This window comes from Homo sapiens, chromosome 7, assembly GCF_000001405.40.
Source record: "Homo sapiens chromosome 7, GRCh38.p14 Primary Assembly".
Taxonomy (NCBI): domain Eukaryota; kingdom Metazoa; phylum Chordata; class Mammalia; order Primates; family Hominidae; genus Homo; species Homo sapiens.
In genome coordinates this window covers 50,352,639-50,369,861 of record NC_000007.14, presented here as the reverse complement: position 1 = coordinate 50,369,861, position 17,223 = coordinate 50,352,639, and the positions used below count along the sequence as shown (strand labels likewise).

Genomic DNA, 17,223 nt, shown 5'->3' with positions numbered 1-17,223 from the left:
TTTTCGTTATTTGCAATTTAAGGCCTTTAAATGGAATGAAGTCAGGGAGAGAAAAGAAAGGCAGAAGAGTAAACAGATAAAGAGAATAAAAAAAAGAGCAATAGGCATTTTCTTTCCTCCAGCAACTACGGACACAAACTGGAATAAGGACAGTAGAGGGGGTGAAAGGGGTTGTTTTTAATTTTCAAGAAGAAAAGAGGTGTTGAGGGCAAAGGGGGCAATTCTTCATCATGACCACAAGGTGGTGATATTGGCCCAGAACAGTTTGGTTGCTGTTTTGCGGGGGAAGGCATCAAGACCAAGTAGCCGCTTGTGTGAGAAGATAGTCACAATTCCAACACTGGGGAGAGTGGGAGAGAAAGAGAGACACCAATACCTTATGGACACATTTGCATAAATATAGACAGAAAGCATATCCAAGTGTATATCATCTCTTTTATAAAAACTGTAACTATCATAACATTAACACATCTTCACATGCAGCGATTCTTACAGACTGAAGGCTTCACTGAAGGGTCTGCTTCAACATATGCTCTGGCTGACACCTTCCTCAGACTTCACAGAAACATGTTTTAGGATGCATTAGCTTACTCTCAAGTGCATTTGACTTCTCAAAATACTTCAACAATATGATTCTTCAAATCAATATCATTTCTCTGTCCAATACCATAATGTTTTATATGTTCATATAAGCTCACGTGTAAACAAATACACATATATAAGCATTTACAAGTACATACATATACATCTCAAAAAGTAGGTATCAAGCTATTGCTTTAAAGTGGAATCAAAGGAATATCAGTAAAAGAAAGATTTCTGTAACTTCTATAGGCTGGAAAAGTAGCCAATCTAGTTTGTGAGCAAAAAGATGTACTTTGATACTGTTAAATTCCTTAGACACCAGATAGTTTTTGATAACCAGGATGTCAGACACCTGTCTTTAACTGTTACTGGCACTGTTCAAATTAGAGCCTATAATTATAATTGTCACAGTGTTAACAAATGCGACCTGTTTTCTGATGTTGCTTTATAGTATTAGAGGATTTACTAATACAGGTCCTAAGGGGATTATCAACTTGTATGGCTTTAAATATTCAGCTCTCTATACATTTTCAAAAGCACTCTCTGTTCTTTAAAGTACTCATTTGAGGATGTTACCCAAATATATTTATCATTTATCAGCTCAATATCTAAAAAAGAAAAATGAAATTCACATCTGTTTTTGGTTTAACAGCTCAGATCAGAGAAGGTCCTGCGGGCACCAAGCAGGAACAGTACGTTGGCTCCAGCAGCGATGCACCACAGAATAACGGCCTGGAGGCCTGCAATTTTCTCTTCTCAGTTCTGAAATTAATACTCCAGAACCACAGATGAAGAGCATATCTCCTTCTCCTGTCCCACAAAATTGTAAAAATTATCTTGAAACCATGTTCAGTTCTTTGTTGGTGACAGAAAATATGGCCATTTTATCCTCACACTCAATAAAAAGGATTACAGGAGTAATCTCAAAGCTGTCCAGCAGCATCTGCGAAGTAACAATCCCATCAGTGCTACTGTGACTCCAACCCTTACTGTTACTCCACTGCCATGCTCCCAGGACACCGCACAACTGCCTAGACCTTCGTTTTGCACTTTATGGTATAAATACCCAAAAATGATATGGTAGGTGTCTAACGAATAGAACAGTGAATATTTAATGTATCTCGGGGGTTGATGAAGGAACATGCACGTACGATATTTACATGATAGGAGATGAAGGCATGCTTTTGTTTTCCAGAAGCAAGGCATATACTTACGAGAGAAAGATTTGGGAATTATTGCATGGAAATCCCTAAAGTCATCAGCCCCATATGTAACTGCAATAAAGAAGGCAAAAAGAAAGCTGGGTTGTGATACCAGGAGAGAGTATAGTCAGAGTTTAACAGAAAGCATTACTTTTTTTTAAAAAAGAACGTTTTATTACTCAAAACCACTGTTCAGCTACTCATCTGCTATTGCTGGCCCTTCTATAGGCAACAGAAAAGTAATTACTCATGAACAGGACCACAATCCCCTCAGGTGTCAACTCACAGCATTATATCCCATAAAGTGGTTTGGAGCAATTACTGATGGGTTCAACATCTTAGAGGGTGCAGCCCCAAACATTCTAGAACTGTGAGAAACCATTCAGCAGCTCCAGTCCAAACACTCGGCTCCTCGCAGAGCATCTCCTGGGACAGCACGTATCTCCACAAAAGTGCGTGTTTCTTAATGAGCTGATTGCATCGCAAATGTTCTTCATTCAGCTTTTTCTTAGGAAGTGTTCATAGAAAATTAGAAAATGCAGCACATTGGGTGGGGGAAAAATTCCTGTTTTCCCCAACCAACAAAAGAGCTACCCCTTTTGGTGATTAGTCCTTATCTGCTGCTTTCATAAATGCTATCACTGCCTCAAATCTTCAGGTTTCTATTCTCTTTCACAGGACAGTTTCCCAGCATGTTCCTTTCTCTTAAGATTTGGTAGATTCTGCACATGTGCACACATGTGTACACACACACACACACACGCACAATCTTTCCCCCAAGAGTCACAGCTCAGTGACTGTTAAAGTGACGTACACAGTGTAGCTGTTAAATTAAACTTGTTGGATGAGTTCCTAGGTTAGCAGAGTAAAGACTCTGAGGTGACCTGCAGGGAAGCAGACCTACTGAACTTTGCTTAAACCAGTGTTTTCCAGATTTATCTGACCACAGAACTTCCTTCTTTTCCCATGAAATTATTGGGAAATAAATTATTGGGATAATGGGCAAACATAGTTTGAGAGACACTTTGAAAGCTGTTTCTTGAACAGCTTTCAAAGTGACTGGCTGAATTATTTCCTAGCAAATCCTTACTCTCCATCTGCTTATTTTATTCCCTGGTAGTCCAAATCTAATGGATAAAGTCAATATTATGAATCCCATCAAACAGACAGAGGTAGCATAAACTGATTGCCTCCATATGGATGTGCTTGTTGGCCTGCAAGCAGCCAGTTTTACAATAACCTTTGCTGTTCTTGTTGTCTTCATTGAGCTCCAACCCTTTATATAATCTGTTTGCCCTTAGTTATTCTGCTTTATGAAGCTGCTAGCATCTCGATAATGGGAGAAAAAGCAAAGATGTTTTAAAGGGTATGTATTACCTTTTGCAAATAGGAACATTACAATGGGTGATAGAGTACAAAACTCTGACTAAACAACAAAGCACTGAGATACTACTTATATTGCTGATCATGCTGATATGGTGCTTGAAGATGACTTGCCTTGAGAATTAACTTCCTAATATATCCCTGCAGTCTACATCCAGAGCTCAGCCACCTGCTGTACATATCATGATGACTACAGCACTGGGGAGGTCTTCATGTTTACCAGTACCCTGAAGATTAAGGAGCTAAGAGATTAGATCTGAATGCAATGCGTCTGGAATTTGTCTCACCAGTAGAAAATGTAGCCTTGTGCAGTCTTGGGCATCAAAGTGTAAGCCTTGAAACACCGAATTCTGTCAAGACACTTCCCACTTCACACATTGCCATTGAATATGAAGAATACTGTAATATATTATTAGACATTAATTTTTTTTTAATTTAACTTTTAAGTTCAGGAGTACATGTGCGGGTTTGTTATATAGGTAAACTCATGTCATGGGGGTTTGTTATACAGATTGTTTTGTCATCCGGTATTAAATCTACTACCTGTTATTTTTTCTGATACTCTTCCTTCTCCCACCCTCCACCCTCTGATAGGCCCCTCTATGTGCCCATGTATTCTCCTCATTCAGCTCACACTTAAAAGTGAGAACATCTGCACTTGGTTTTCTGTTCCTGGGTTAGTTTGCTAAGGATAATGGCCTCCAGCTCCATCCATGTTCCTGCAAAGGGCATGATCTCATTCTTTTTCTTATGGCTGCATAGTATTCCATGGGGTATATGTACCACATTTTCTTTATCCAGTCTATCATTGATGGGCATGTAGGTTGATTCCATGTTTTTGCTATCGTGAATAGTGCTGCAACAAACAAATGCGTGCATGTGTCTTACGGTAGAATGACTCATATTCCTTTGGGTATATATGCAGTAATGGGATTGCTGGGTCAAATGGTATATAGGTCTTTGAGGAATTGCCACACTGTCTTCCACATGGTTGAACTAATTTACAATCCCCTCAACAGTGTATAAGCGTTCCTTTTTCTCTACAACCTCACCAGCAACTGTCATTCTTTGACTTTTTATTAATAACCATTCTGACTGGTGTGAGATGGTATCTCATTGTGGTTTTGATTTGCATTTCTCTAATGATCAATGATGATGAACTTTATTTCATATGATTGTGGGCCACATGTATGTCTTCTTTTGGAAAGTTAGACGTTGAATGTCAATCACGTTTCAAAAGAATCAGTCCTTTGCCTAGTGTAATTCAAATTTACTTGTTGATTTTTGTCCCAAATATGTGGTTCACAAAATTGTTTAAAAAACAAAATATAGCTGTACCTATTAGTTTGTTTCATGTCTCCAGAGTAATGCTGAATTGATAAGCGCTCACCCTTGTTCCTGTACCATCCGTGTTCAGGCACATAAACTTCTGGGCTCAGTAAAAGAAGTGTGTACTATTCTAGCTGGACAGGTAATTATGTACAACAGCAAATGTGGAAACTCACTCTGTTCCATGCCAAAGTTCAGTATCTTTTGGGAGCCAATCACTGGGAGCTCTGTGGATGCCAGGTGGGTAGTAGAGGTTTTGTGGAAGCTGTTTTTATGATGCTTGAGAGGCACTGGAAGATGTGTAAGGTACTGCAGCTGCACATACAGGGACACACATAAGTGTGTTTGTGTGTTAATGCAAATATACACACACTCACCTGCACGTGAGGCATGGGGAGTAATGGTGTCCCCTCAATGAACAAATTCCCAACCAGTGAATCAATGACTGGTCAAGTGCGACTGCTACACCTCTTAGCCCTGCCCCCTCAGGGACCTCACTGGTCCAGCAGCTAAGCCTGGCACCCTTCACCACACATCCAGGGTAGGGACTGAACAAAGTCACAGAGCAGGTGAGTATGCACAGCAGTCACTGAGAGCTCCTCGCACTCTAGGAGCCAGCTGGCCCCAGGTCTGTGCAGTCTGACAATATTCCCACATTGCTTCTGGCAAGCTGCAAAATGAGCCATACAACCTGCTTTTTCTCACTCTCTTGGAGAGGTTTGTAGGTGCTGACTTGCTTTTGCCCCTGAAGACAGTCCTGCCTCTAAGTTGACCCTCTTGCTTGTCATAAGAAGCAGTCACTGTGGGATTAGCGAAGCTATTATTCAGTGATTACCTCTCAACCCTGTTCTCTGTCCTTTAGTAAATTCAGGCCACTGTTTAATAAAAGGATGCAGATAAAACAGGTGTCAAACTTTTTTTCTCAGTTTTCTACATTTTACAAAATATATTCTTATCAAGAGCAAATTTAACTTATTTGGTAAGAATTTCTATTCCCCAAACTCTCAGGCACATTTTCATATAAAATGCTGCGAACACCTTGGATTCTGAATCCTATTTGAATTGCCAAATTGATGAACATTATGGGAAAAATGAAATACCCACAAACCACACTTTTCAGTTTGCATTTAGCTGTGCATAAAATTATAAACTTCTTGTGCCGTTGTCACTCTGGGGAGAGGCTAAACCTACTTGAGATTTTCAAAACTAGAGGGAGGAGATCTGATCTACTTTCAAATTCGAGAACACTGACAATTTTCTGGGAAAATCTGTCTAAAGGTAAACACATTCAGATTTGTATTTAGGAGAAATTTATAAAATTTATAAAATTTAGAAAAAATGCTGTCATTCTTTAAATCACATGAACCTGTTAGCCACAGTGAGATCACTAGTCTATTATGACCTTGTTTGAGTATGGTTTGTGGTACCTTGGCAATGCCTCCAAATCTAGCATTTCATGGCAGGGCTTCCTGACCCGGTGACTGAGCTAGTGAGAGTCACAGGACAGGACAGCAAGGTGGAGGTGGATGGGAGGACCAAATACTCCAGACAGAACACCACAGGCCACACTTCTGGAAAGCACGAGTTAGATCCTGAAGTGCTACCAAGTCAAGATTCTATGAAAACCTTTCAGACCTTCTGTGGATGGATCCATTTGTTTTTAGACCACCCTCTAGTGAGGAGGCTCAGAGTCTTCTCATGGGAAGAGAACACTGGCTGCCATCTATGGACTGCACATGCACACTCAAGGAAGGTATTGTTGCTCCGGTCTTAGAAAAGAGGCAACTAAAATACAATCAAGTTCAGTGGGACCCAGGGACACAGAGCTGGGGAGTGCTGGGTGGTGTAAGTCTCACATCTAAGCTCCCCAGGGCACTGGGTAACTCCTCAGTGGCTCGTTTCACCGCCTGTCCTGCAGTCAGTCCTGATGATGTCAACTCTGCTGCCACTTGTCTCCTTCCCACTCCACCAGCTCGTTCTTTTCAGATGTCAAGGGTCACACCATGCAGGCCATGATGTCTTACACTGCTCCGGATCCTGGATGGCCCCAGCATAGTACCTTCCACCCAACAGGCACACAAAAGTTTGCAGAAGAAGGCAAGTGGAAATATGCCCAGGGCCCTGGTCTGGGGGCTCCACCAGGGCTTGATCCTCGTCATTCTGCCCATTCTTCCCTCCATGCCTGGAACATGCACACCCAAACCCAAATCCCATCTTTTCCCCCAGACCCAGCTCTCCTATGTAGCCCATGCATGTTGATGGTGCTTCATCTGGATTCCATACATTCCAACCCACAGGGGGCTCGCCTCTACCCTTGCCTCTCATGGCCAAATTATGTCTGAGGTCTTTGGAGAGGTCTCCATTCTTATTGTTTTCCAACCACGTCACATCCCAGCATGGCCATGAAGCCCCTGCCTTTGCCCAGCCAAGGCAGCCCAGCCTGCACCACATCCTGCCTGTGTTTCCTGTCCACCGTCTGGCATGTGAGTTTGTTTGCTTGCATCATGGGGACCTTGCTTTCAGGCACCCCTCTCAATCAACCTGCTCATTGCCCTAAGATTATCATCCTCAACCTGCTCTTATCCGGTCACAACTGCTTCCAAGCTTTCCATGGGTCTGCACTGTTACGATGAGAAAAAAATCCTCCAGTCCTGTGTCAAAATCTCCCTACAACTGGTGAGCAATGAATAAACTTCTCAGCAGGTAATATTATTCAGATAAGCAATAGTAAGGGTGAACCTTATGGAAAAATGCTTTAAAACAAAAAAGAGAGCCCTGTAGCTCATGTTTTAGTAGAAAGCCACACGCAGATAAAGATAACATCTACCTTCTTGTCAACAAAGACCTCAAGACCCATAGGATTAGCTACAACCAACCAACATTCACCATGTTTCCCAGATGGGAAAAACAATAGGGCTAGTGCTTTGCAAGTCCACTGAAGGTGAAAAAGAAGGCAGGAAAACGCCTTCAGTGCCTGCAAACCGTGAGTCTGTACAGTCTTCCCTTCAGCTCCAAATGCCCCTGGCAGACACTTACTCTATCTGGCAATGGGGTTGAGTGGACCTTCCGAAGCGCCTCACTTACCCTCATGGTGTTTCAGGGATGAGTGTCAGGTCGAGGGACAGTTTTGGTTGCTTCAAATGGGACATGTCAGTGATGGCCAAAGTCACTATGCTTTACTTCAAATCCCAGCTGTTGGAGCTACCTTCCAGAGCAGATGATTTGGAGAACTTGACAGAAGATTAGGAAAAACCAATGTCTGGCCCTTTCTCTCTTCATGTAGTACAACTAGGCACCAGTCCTATTTTTGTTTTTGTTTTATTAACACAATTTTAATTGTTCACAGTGAACTAATTAAGATAGAAAAAGCTCCAATTAATACACCTATGGCTTAGAAAGGGAGAAATGGGTACTTCTAAAGAGTACAAGAAAGGAAACAGCAGGTTCAAAATGATGGTTCTTTTATGGGATTAGCTTTTTTTTTCTTTTTTGAGATGGAGTCTTGCTCTGTCACCAGGCTGGAGTGCAGTGGCATGATCTTGGCTCACTGCAACCTCCTCCTCCCGGGTTCAAGTGATTCTCCTGCCTCAGCCTCCCGGGTAGCTGGGACTACAGGCGCGCACCACCATGCCCAGCTAATATTTGTACTTTTGGTAGAGATGGGGTTTCACCATGTTGGTCAGGATGGTCTCGATCTCTTGACCTTGTGATCAGCCCACCTCGGCCTCCCAAAGTGCTGGGATTACAGGCGTGAGCCACTGTGCCTGGCCAGGATTAGCTTTTAAATGATTGTTTTGGTGCCATGTGCAATCTTCCTGGATCCTGAGGTTGGAGCATTTCCTCAGCTGCCCTGCTAGGCCTGTTTCATGTCAGCCAACTTCCGGGTCCAGGATCTCCATATAACAATTTAGGGGAAAACATTCAACAGGTTGAAGAACAGGCTTAGGGATATTTTCCCAGTGTTGTAACCTTCTTGCTTACTCTTTTTTGGAAGAAATACTACTTTTTTGTAAAAATGATATTTGCTGATTCTAAAGACACTGAGTAGACAGAAGCACTATGATGGCACCTCTAGAAATTACCCCCAAGTTTTATAATTTAAGGAGAATCATATGCAAAGAAGAAAATGCAAAAATGATAATGAGAACGGGGTAAGAAAGCTTGGTTCATGCTTTAAAAGGAGAAGGGAAAGGGACATTCAGGCAATCAAGAAAGGCTGAAGAAAACTAAGAGGGCTGGAGGAACAATGATTAGATAGGAAGGCTCTTGTCAGGGATCGTGGCAGGGGTGAAGAGTGTGAGGTCCTCAATATAAGTGAAAAATGAAATTTAATTTTGTCATTCCAAATTTTATTCTAATAAGGGAGATTTGTGCTGGATCACTGGGCCAAAATGATAAGGAAGGGAAATGCTACAAAATAACTGGGCTGCCCATAAGAGTGTGGGTCACACGGCGGGCAGGAGGGGCTTGGGGTGTGTGCATGGAGAGCCACCTTTCCATATCTAGGCCCTGTCAGGACATGCTGGGGCAGCGCCGGGCAGAGCCACATGGTGATGACTGGCTGTGTTCCCTGCCACATGGAGAGGAGAGGCACAGCAGGCAGTGCGGAAGGGACGACATGGGGCTGCGGAGCTCGGCAGTCGTCAGAGTGTCTGCAGCGTGGGCCACAAGGCAAGAGCCTTTGATCAACTGTTTAGCATGTGCTCTAGCTGATGTAACTGCACACGTGTTTTAGATGTGGTTTTCCCAGTAGCACACTCTTACAGAAGCAACAGGTTAAACTGTTGCTGCCGGTGTAAAAGGGAGTTCGGCAAAGTGAAGGACTAAAGACTGAAGGAAATGTTTTGACTGTTAAGCTGGACTTGGCTTCCTGAAATGGGGTTATTGTATGTGCATTTCACACGTTCTTGAGGTGTAGGACATATCACTTCTGACTTCAAATGAGAACAAACATGCAAAGAAAGGGCTGAGGAGTTTAAATCCATTTCTGTGGCCTTTGTCCACCTAAGCGATCAACTGAAGAGAACTCTGGAGGCTGTGCTCAGCTCCTCCTCAGGCTCTGCAGACAGACACGGCCATTCCCTCTCATCCCCAGGGCTGGCAGGGTGTCAGCCTCAAAGATTCCAGAAGCCCAGGCCCTGCTTCAGGGAGGCCAGAGATAAGTAATCTCCCCCAGGACACACAGAGGGTGGATCCTCTGCTGTCCCTCCCTTCCAGAAGCCCAACGGGTCCCTGTCAGAATTCCAAGCAGAAGGTGACTCAGCACAGAGGAGGAGGGATGGGAAGAACAACTCAGTTGCCCTCTTAATCCCGCCGCTCTCGGCCATGGGTACAGTCCTGCACACTTTGTGTCTTTAAGTGGTTGCTAATCTTTAAGGAAGGGGTATTTGTGTAATACTCTGCTGAGAAATCCTGGGGAGTCAGCCAGCCTCTGGTGACCTGACCCCACTACAGGTGGAGGTCAAGTCTTCAGTCCTGCCTTGGCAGTTTCTTCTGCCTTCCTCCCAGAAAGTGGATTTCTCAGGCATGAGCTCAAGCTGAGAGTCTGGTGATGGTAAAGATCAGAGTGCAGGCAATCTGGCATAACTGTAGCTGAACTGGCTGTCTGCAGAGGAAAGCAAGGGGCTGAGGAGCGTGGAATTGGGTGGGTGCATCTGGTCTGGTGCACTGGTGCACACACATGTGTACATGAGTGACCACGTGTGCACGTGTGTACATGTGTATGTACATGTGCAAATGACACACAGAGATCGCCCTTTCTACACATATATTTAAAAAGGCAGCTCAGTAAAATCGACTCACAGGTAGAGAGTCCATTATTTACTGTGACTTTTCCATGCAGAAGGACAGTGGTGCGGCCAAATAGGCAGCAGTCTCCACTGTTCGGAATGTCAGATCAGCTCCTCCTCACTCTGCGCACATTCCCCCGCCTGCCAGCTCTGTGGGCAGAAGGCTGCAGGAGTCAGATCTGGTCTCTACAAGACTCAGAAGTCAGGATGAAATTCATGTTTCCTCCATTTCTTAACAAAGAAGCACACCTGTAGAGATTTCTGAGCAAGGAATTGTGACTTGTTGCAGAATTTATTTTATTTTATTTTATTTTTTGAGACAGGATCTTGCTCTGTGGCCCAGGCTGTAGTGCAGTGGCTCGATCACAGCTCACTGCAGTCTTGACCTCTTGGGCTCAAGCAATCCTCCTGTCTCAGCCTCCCGAGTGCCTGGAACTATTGGAATATGCCACCATGCCCAGCTAATTTTTGTATTTTTTTGTAGAGACAGGGTTTTACCATATTGCCTAGGTTGGTCTGAAACTCCTGAGCACACATGATCCTTCCACCTCAGTCTCTCAAAGTGCTGGGATTACACGTGTGAGCTACCGCACTTGGCCATAATTCTGTATCTTGATAAGAAACTCACAAGTGGCTGTGAGAAGACATAAGGAAGGAGATGTGGCTACTTTAAGCCGTTTAACGTTTCATGTAAACTTATGTCTAACCAGGGAAAAAAAACTCCAAGGACTTTGTAATATATAGTTCTCTTAAGAAACTCTTTAAGGCTTTTTTTTTCTTTTTCTTCTTTCCCTTCTCTCTTCCTCCACCTCTCCATGGTCGTCTCACTATTTCCTAAAAAGCCCCGTGCTGTATAAATGCTAGGCATATGTTATTTTATTTAGCCCTTACAATAAAGCCTTGGCTTGTGAGTGATCAGCATTGGCTGCAGCACCCTGCCTCCAACCACCTGAAGGTGTTTACAGACGGCCTCTGCCTCTGAGTAGCTCTGGAGTCCGAGCCATGCACAGGACATCACCAAGCCTCAGCTTCCTCACGTATGAAACCAAAGAAAACGCCAGCCTCATGTCACCATACAGCTGGAGAGTCACAGAGCAAAGGTGCCAGGTCCCCGCCATTAGCTGGCGCTCAGGAAATGCTGGCTGCCCCTCTCCTGCCCCGTCCCACAGCCTTCACGCGAGATTGGCCCACTACTCACACACCTCTGGCTTCCTGGCACTTCTGTCAAAACCTCACATCTCTTAGGAAGAAACTTCAAATGTCATGTTTTTTCCTAGTAGATATCAGCTGTTTCTTAGGATGAGAGTGTCTCAAAAAGTCCTGTCCTTCACATCAACAACACTTCTTCGAAGTAAGGGGGGTTCCTCCCTTTCTTTCCCATCTTTCTAGTTTTATGATTCAACAACCATTTACCAGGAAATATCTGGAAACGACTAATTTGGGTCACACACTCTTCCCATTTACAAATCGAACAACTAAGAGCGTGTAACATGTAAGTCAAGTCATTTACCTGGTTCCACAGCTGTTGCCATGTGACTCCAGGGGCTTGCAACCAGGTGAAGGTGCTATGCTATGTCCTTCCTAGACATTAACTTTGTTAACCCTTGAAGCAGCCCTGTGAGAAAAATATCACCCCCGCTTTACAAATGAGAGAAACTCCGACTCCAGATGGTCACCCGACCTGCCTAAGACCAGGTAAGACAGTAGAAAAGAAAAGTGGAGGCCAAATTCGAGGCACTCCAAAGCCCATTTCTTAACTCGTTGCCTCCCTCCCACTCCGTGTGTCCTGAGCTAACTTCTCCAAGTCTTCGCGTCCTAGCTGTTAATGAGTTTATGAAATGAGGCCCTCTGAATAGCCCACACTACACATCAGGGAGGACCATCTCCAACTTGGGCATTCCACAGATGTGTGTGCAAACCCCGAGGGAGTCTCCAGAGAAATTATAGAGGGAAAATCCAAGATCTGTCCAGGGATGTTGCAATTTATAAACAGCAGGAGGAAGATGCACCGAAACTCACGTGCCACGGTGCACAGCAGCCCTGGGTACTGGGAAGCAGCACATGTTCTTAGGAAGACTAAGCCATGCCAACTGGAGGGAGGGGTGGCAGGGGGGTTGTGAGAAGTCACAGAAGGGTGACATTCAAAATGAGAAGCAGGAAGAGGGAATCTCAACAAGTGGAGGTGGGGGGCTACAGCAGGGTCAGCAGTGGACTTGGCGGTGGGGGGGTGGTGGGGTGGTGGCTGGCTCAGAGAATCATGGGGACAGTCATGCCCAGGATGCAGGGCCTGGTTCCAGAGGCCTTGGAAGCTGAGATGAAGTCCCCAGGCAACAGGAACTGTGAGAGGTCCCTGCTTGTGGGGGTCCTGTGGTGGGAGGTGGTTTAAGGGAACTGGTCTGGGGTTGGGATGGAGATGCCTAGAAGAAGGAGTCGGTTATAACACTCCACAGGCAGAGAGAGAGAAGTGGGAGACCACCAGGGTGGGCTGGGGAAGTAGGAGGATCACAAGTGGAATCACACACCCATGGCCCTCCGAAGCCCGGTGAGTCGGCAGTCAGGGGTGCAGTCATCCTGCTCTCGGTTACTCTAGGTTTTAGAGCACCACCAGCCCAGCGACCACGAGACCCCAGCTTCCAGAAGACCGGACAGTCGGGCCTTCTGCCACCCCGTGATCTTCCGCCCTTCCCTCCATATCCAGAGACACCGTCCCACCCTGGTCTCCAGGAGGTAGGGCCCAAGCACAGCGATTGTGACACTGTGCTTGTGTGTCATCTTGTAACTGGGTTTCCACATCCTCCTGGCTATATTGTAAAAGCCCTAGAAGAGGAACAAGAGCAAATAATGAAATATAGGAATGCAGGAAAAGAGGAAGCCGCCGCGAGATACCAGCCCAACCGAAATACAAAGAATTATGGAGAAGTGACAGAAAGGGAAGTAAGAGTAAGGAATTGCATTGAGTAGCTTAGCAGAGTGCGTGCGCACACACACAGACAAAGCCATGCACACGCACAGACACACAGCCGTGCACACACAGACACACCCCACAGACACACATGTACACACAGACACACACAGAAACACAGGCACAAAGACACACTCACACACTCTCACAAATTCACACACACACAGCCTTTCTTGGGTCTAAATTAAACTGCTAGAAGAGTATGAGCTCATAGTTGTCAGCCTTGGAGGGACAGTAACAAGTTCACTCTATGGTCCAGATGGCTGAGAGAGATCATCCAAGTGCGCTGGCTCCAGACCATCTGTCCCCACAGGGTACTAGATCCAGAAGTTCCTGATAGTTCTAGAAGGCCATTCTGTTATTTTTCTTTTGTATTTAAAAAGCCAGAGTTAAAATATGGTAAAACTTCCTTACATTATAATCAAAAACTTAATTTTAGGGCTGAGACGCAAAGTGGACTAATGGAAAAGAAAACATAAATCTATCGGGGTAGATGCGTTTAGGGACCCCCACATCATTTTTTAAGCGAGGAAAACAGGCAAGGAGAGAAAAGCCTGAAACTGAGGGAAAATGAGAACAACACAGTGAATTAACCCATCTGTGGCATTTTCTGTTCGTGGAGATAACCAGTGGCAGAGCTCTGAGTCAAAGACATCCCCACTGAAGGAGCGTGGAAGTTGCTGAGAAAAAGTCCTTATCTAGCATTTTCACAGGCATGTGGCAGGAGGGGCAGGACAGCCGGGAGGCCTCCAGCCTGCTCTGCTCACTGTGGCCTCGGAGTTCACAGGGAACGCTGCCTCCCTAGGGCAGGTTTTTAAATGAATGCACCGCTTTCCCTCTTCCTTATTTTCCAAGAGAAACACTGGCTAGCCCCAGAACTCTCATTGTTCTTAGAGGAAACTGCTGAATATCTGTTGGAATTAAAATTTGACTGGGACTTTCTGAGGACTGTTTCTTTCCATTTATTTATTTATTTATTTATTTATTTATTTATTCGCAAGCTAACACATTAAACTTTGGAGTGAATTAAGAGAGACTGCAGATTCAGTAAAATTTGGACAAGAGCATTGGCCACAGCCTCTTAGCACGCAGCCCAGTGGGCACAGGGTTTCCAGTGGATGGTGTGGCCCTGCAGAGCGGGGCACACCTAGCCAGGACTCTCTTGTGCTCTCGCCTCCCATCCGGCGGCCAGGCCTCAAGGCGGGCGTTGGCCGGTACCCCAACCCATCCTTATACATGACACTGACTGCTCTCAACCCCTCAATAGCTCACTGATAATGATGACCACTCTGCAATCCAGCTGGCTAGGCAGGATCATCCGAGTGCACCCAGGACCATCTGCTCTCACAGGGTACTAAATCCAGAACTTCCTGATAGTTCTAGAAGGCCATTCACAGGTGCCCTTCCCCATGTGAATTTCCGCCTGTTGGGAAGCAGAGCTCACACATCTCAGTCATTTGCCTGCAGAATGGAGGAGGCTTCTCAAGATTTGCCTGATGGAGACTGAGGCCACTGGGGAGAGAGGCATGAGGCTGGTCATCTCCACCTTCCCCCAAGACCCAGGCCTGTCCCCCTCCTCACCTGAGGACTCTGCCTCAGAAGCTTCCTATGGGAATCTCCTGAACAGGTGTCACAAAAGGCATTGCCACGCATTATGTATTGTTCCTACCCAAAGTGACGTTTTTGACGCTGAAGCATAGTACTGATGCTGTCCAAATGCATCACTGAAATCCTACGCTTGAGTATCTTCCCTTCTAGATAAACTTCAGGGCATTCAACAAGCTGGAGGGGAGGTCTAAGTTTCTGCACTAACCACTCTCCATCCCCATCATGGGGAGACAGCCTGGTGACCACAGGGCCTGTAACCAACGGTATGGGTTGGTTACTTTAAAAATTCTTCACCAATACTAGGGAAAAGACAAGCAGAAATGCTAGAGAGGGTAATGGAAGACCCGTGACTCCAGGATTTTGGTGTTCTCTTTTTGGCAAGAGTATTTCTCATCTCTCAACCTTGACTTTTTGTTCTCTCTTAAAAAACAAAAACGTACAGTACAAAGACTGCTGCCCTGTCTTTCTGCCTTGTAGTATCTCCTGCCAGCCACCTCTTAGGCTCCCTTCAGGCCTGTGTTCAATAACGGGGGCACCCAGAGCCCTCGCCCCAGCTCTGCCCCTTGCTTGATGTCTGCCCTGTGCCTGGGAGGCTTTGGAACGGGCTCTGTCCACACAGGTGCAGCCAGAAAGCAGAATGATGCTCACCTCCGCCAGGCTGCCCTGGCTAGTGGGGGCTCTGGTGGGATGGAAGCCCGGGCACCCACAGCAGTAACCAACTGGATGACACACCTTTGCACTGGTTTTCCATTTTCATCCTCCTCTTCTCCCCAGGATCACCGTTCATGAACCAGCTGCTCACAGCACCTGTGTTGGGCTTGCTGTGGAGGGTGCCTAGGCTGCAAGAACCACTGATCCTTCCACACCAGGGAGAACTGCTAAAGACGCACCTTGCAGGCACAGAAGGGACACCACACCTGGGGCTTTTAAATCCTGAGTCACAGATGAACCTGGCAGAGCACACAAATCAGCGCCCTCCAGGATGATGCTATGGGGGGAATTCTGCCTCCTCTATGTTCTGACATCATTCCAACCTTTACTAAGATCCCAGCATCCTGGCTTGGGGCCTCCCTGGGTCCCAGTGTGGCATGAAGGGTCTGCTTCTTGTAACAGAGGTGCTGGGGGCAGGGGGACCCGGGACAACAGCAACTTCCTGCAGAAAACAGGCACAGGGCCCTCAGAAATGTGATACTCCTGGAGAGAAATATGTAAAAGGATTGTGGGATCATGGATACATTTTAATAAATGCGAGTGTTTGTGACTAGTACATCTAGAGATTCGCTGAAAAGAGAGCCCCTTGAATAAAAAGGACACAGTTGAAGATTCTTCCTGGAGCAAAAGTGGCATCTACTGGCCCCTGGGCTCTTCACAGCCTCGGGGGCTGACCCACCTGAGCTCACCTGGAAGCTCTGACTCTTCCGGCCAGGATGTCCTCTCCTGCATCACTGGAGGATTAGCCTGGATGGTTAGCCCTTCTCTCTTATAAGGGTGACAGCATGGCAGGAGGTGAGGATAGAGGGAGGAGGGCAACTTCTTTTTCTCTTCTCCCTCACAGGGCCACAACATCCATTGCAGAAACAAGAAAGGAGGGGCCAGCAGGCGCAGGTGGCTTCCAGACCTCAGGCCTTGCAGGAGGTGTTAGGGCAGGGGAAGGAGCTTTTGGCTGAAACTGCTCATCATGGCAAGAGTGTGGCTGGCAGAACTGAGGAAGAGGAAAGGCAGCTTGCTTGCTCTCTCTCTCTAAATGCAAGTGCCCTGGAAGCTTTGGAAACATGGAGCTGCAAATTCTGCTGAATGTTGGTGGAAGGGAAGGGCCCCATTGCTCTCCCTGCCTCCTGTGCCTGGGCTGTGGCACAGCATCCTAGCAGACCACTCACTGGGCAGCCCCTCAGGCTTCTCCAGCTCTTTCTTTCATGTCTTTCTGTGTCTTCTATGAAAAGATTCTACCATAAGATCTAAGCAAGGGTAAGCAGGGGAAAAGAGGCGTGGACAGCCATCACCTGGCTTATGAGCAATATTTCATTTGCAGAAAACAAAGTATAAAAAAATTCTTAAAATATGTAAGAGAGGAAAATACAAATATGTGTAATTCATAGAAAGTCTTACCTTATGCAAGGATAAGATATACAAATTTAGGATAGTGATTATGCCATGATATGTCATGGCTGAGGGCCAAGTAAAATAAATTTCCTAATAAATAATAAAAACACATTTATACATTAGATAAAAATGTCATTAGTATTTGATTTCAACTTGGAGGCTTCCTTTAAGTGATAGAAGCACAACAAAAACTTAAAATGAAAAAACTGAAGAGAGACCGAAGAGGTTGAAAATGTCACCGCTTTGGTCTCATTCTGAAACACTAAAC

The 17,223-nt window shown here is 45.5% G+C and overlaps 1 protein-coding gene across 61 annotated transcripts in view, besides 2 other annotated features; it reads right to left on the bottom strand.

Moving 5' to 3' along the window:
* Window positions 1-17,223, bottom strand: part of IKZF1 (IKAROS family zinc finger 1) — a 101,647-nt gene that overhangs the window by 35,240 nt on the left and 49,184 nt on the right. For 19 of the 61 annotated variants that reach the window (XM_011515058.3, XM_011515059.4, XM_011515067.4 and 16 more), the window contains exon 4: window positions 1,797-1,856. The exons of 37 other annotated variants lie outside the window; for them this stretch is intronic. In XM_011515058.3, the coding sequence (XP_011513360.1) occupies window positions 1,797-1,856 (60 nt within the window). Of the gene's footprint in view, window positions 1-22; window positions 341-415; window positions 1,857-3,454; window positions 17,220-17,223 lie in introns of those variants that run through there. 5 more of the 61 variants (NM_001291846.2, NM_001291847.2, XM_047419742.1 and 2 more) reach the window with 4 other exon arrangements.
* Window positions 8,574-9,091: an enhancer, noted in NCBI's record as "H3K27ac-H3K4me1 hESC enhancer chr7:50428469-50428986 (GRCh37/hg19 assembly coordinates)". NCBI's record gives its function as "activates a minimal SCP1, AML or CMV promoter by ChIP-STARR-seq in naive H9 embryonic stem cells {active_cell/tissue: H9 hESC(naive)}" and the evidence as "EXISTENCE:reporter gene assay evidence [ECO:0000049][PMID:30033119]".
* Window positions 9,092-9,611: an enhancer, noted in NCBI's record as "H3K27ac-H3K4me1 hESC enhancer chr7:50427949-50428468 (GRCh37/hg19 assembly coordinates)". NCBI's record gives its function as "activates a minimal SCP1, AML or CMV promoter by ChIP-STARR-seq in naive H9 embryonic stem cells {active_cell/tissue: H9 hESC(naive)}" and the evidence as "EXISTENCE:reporter gene assay evidence [ECO:0000049][PMID:30033119]".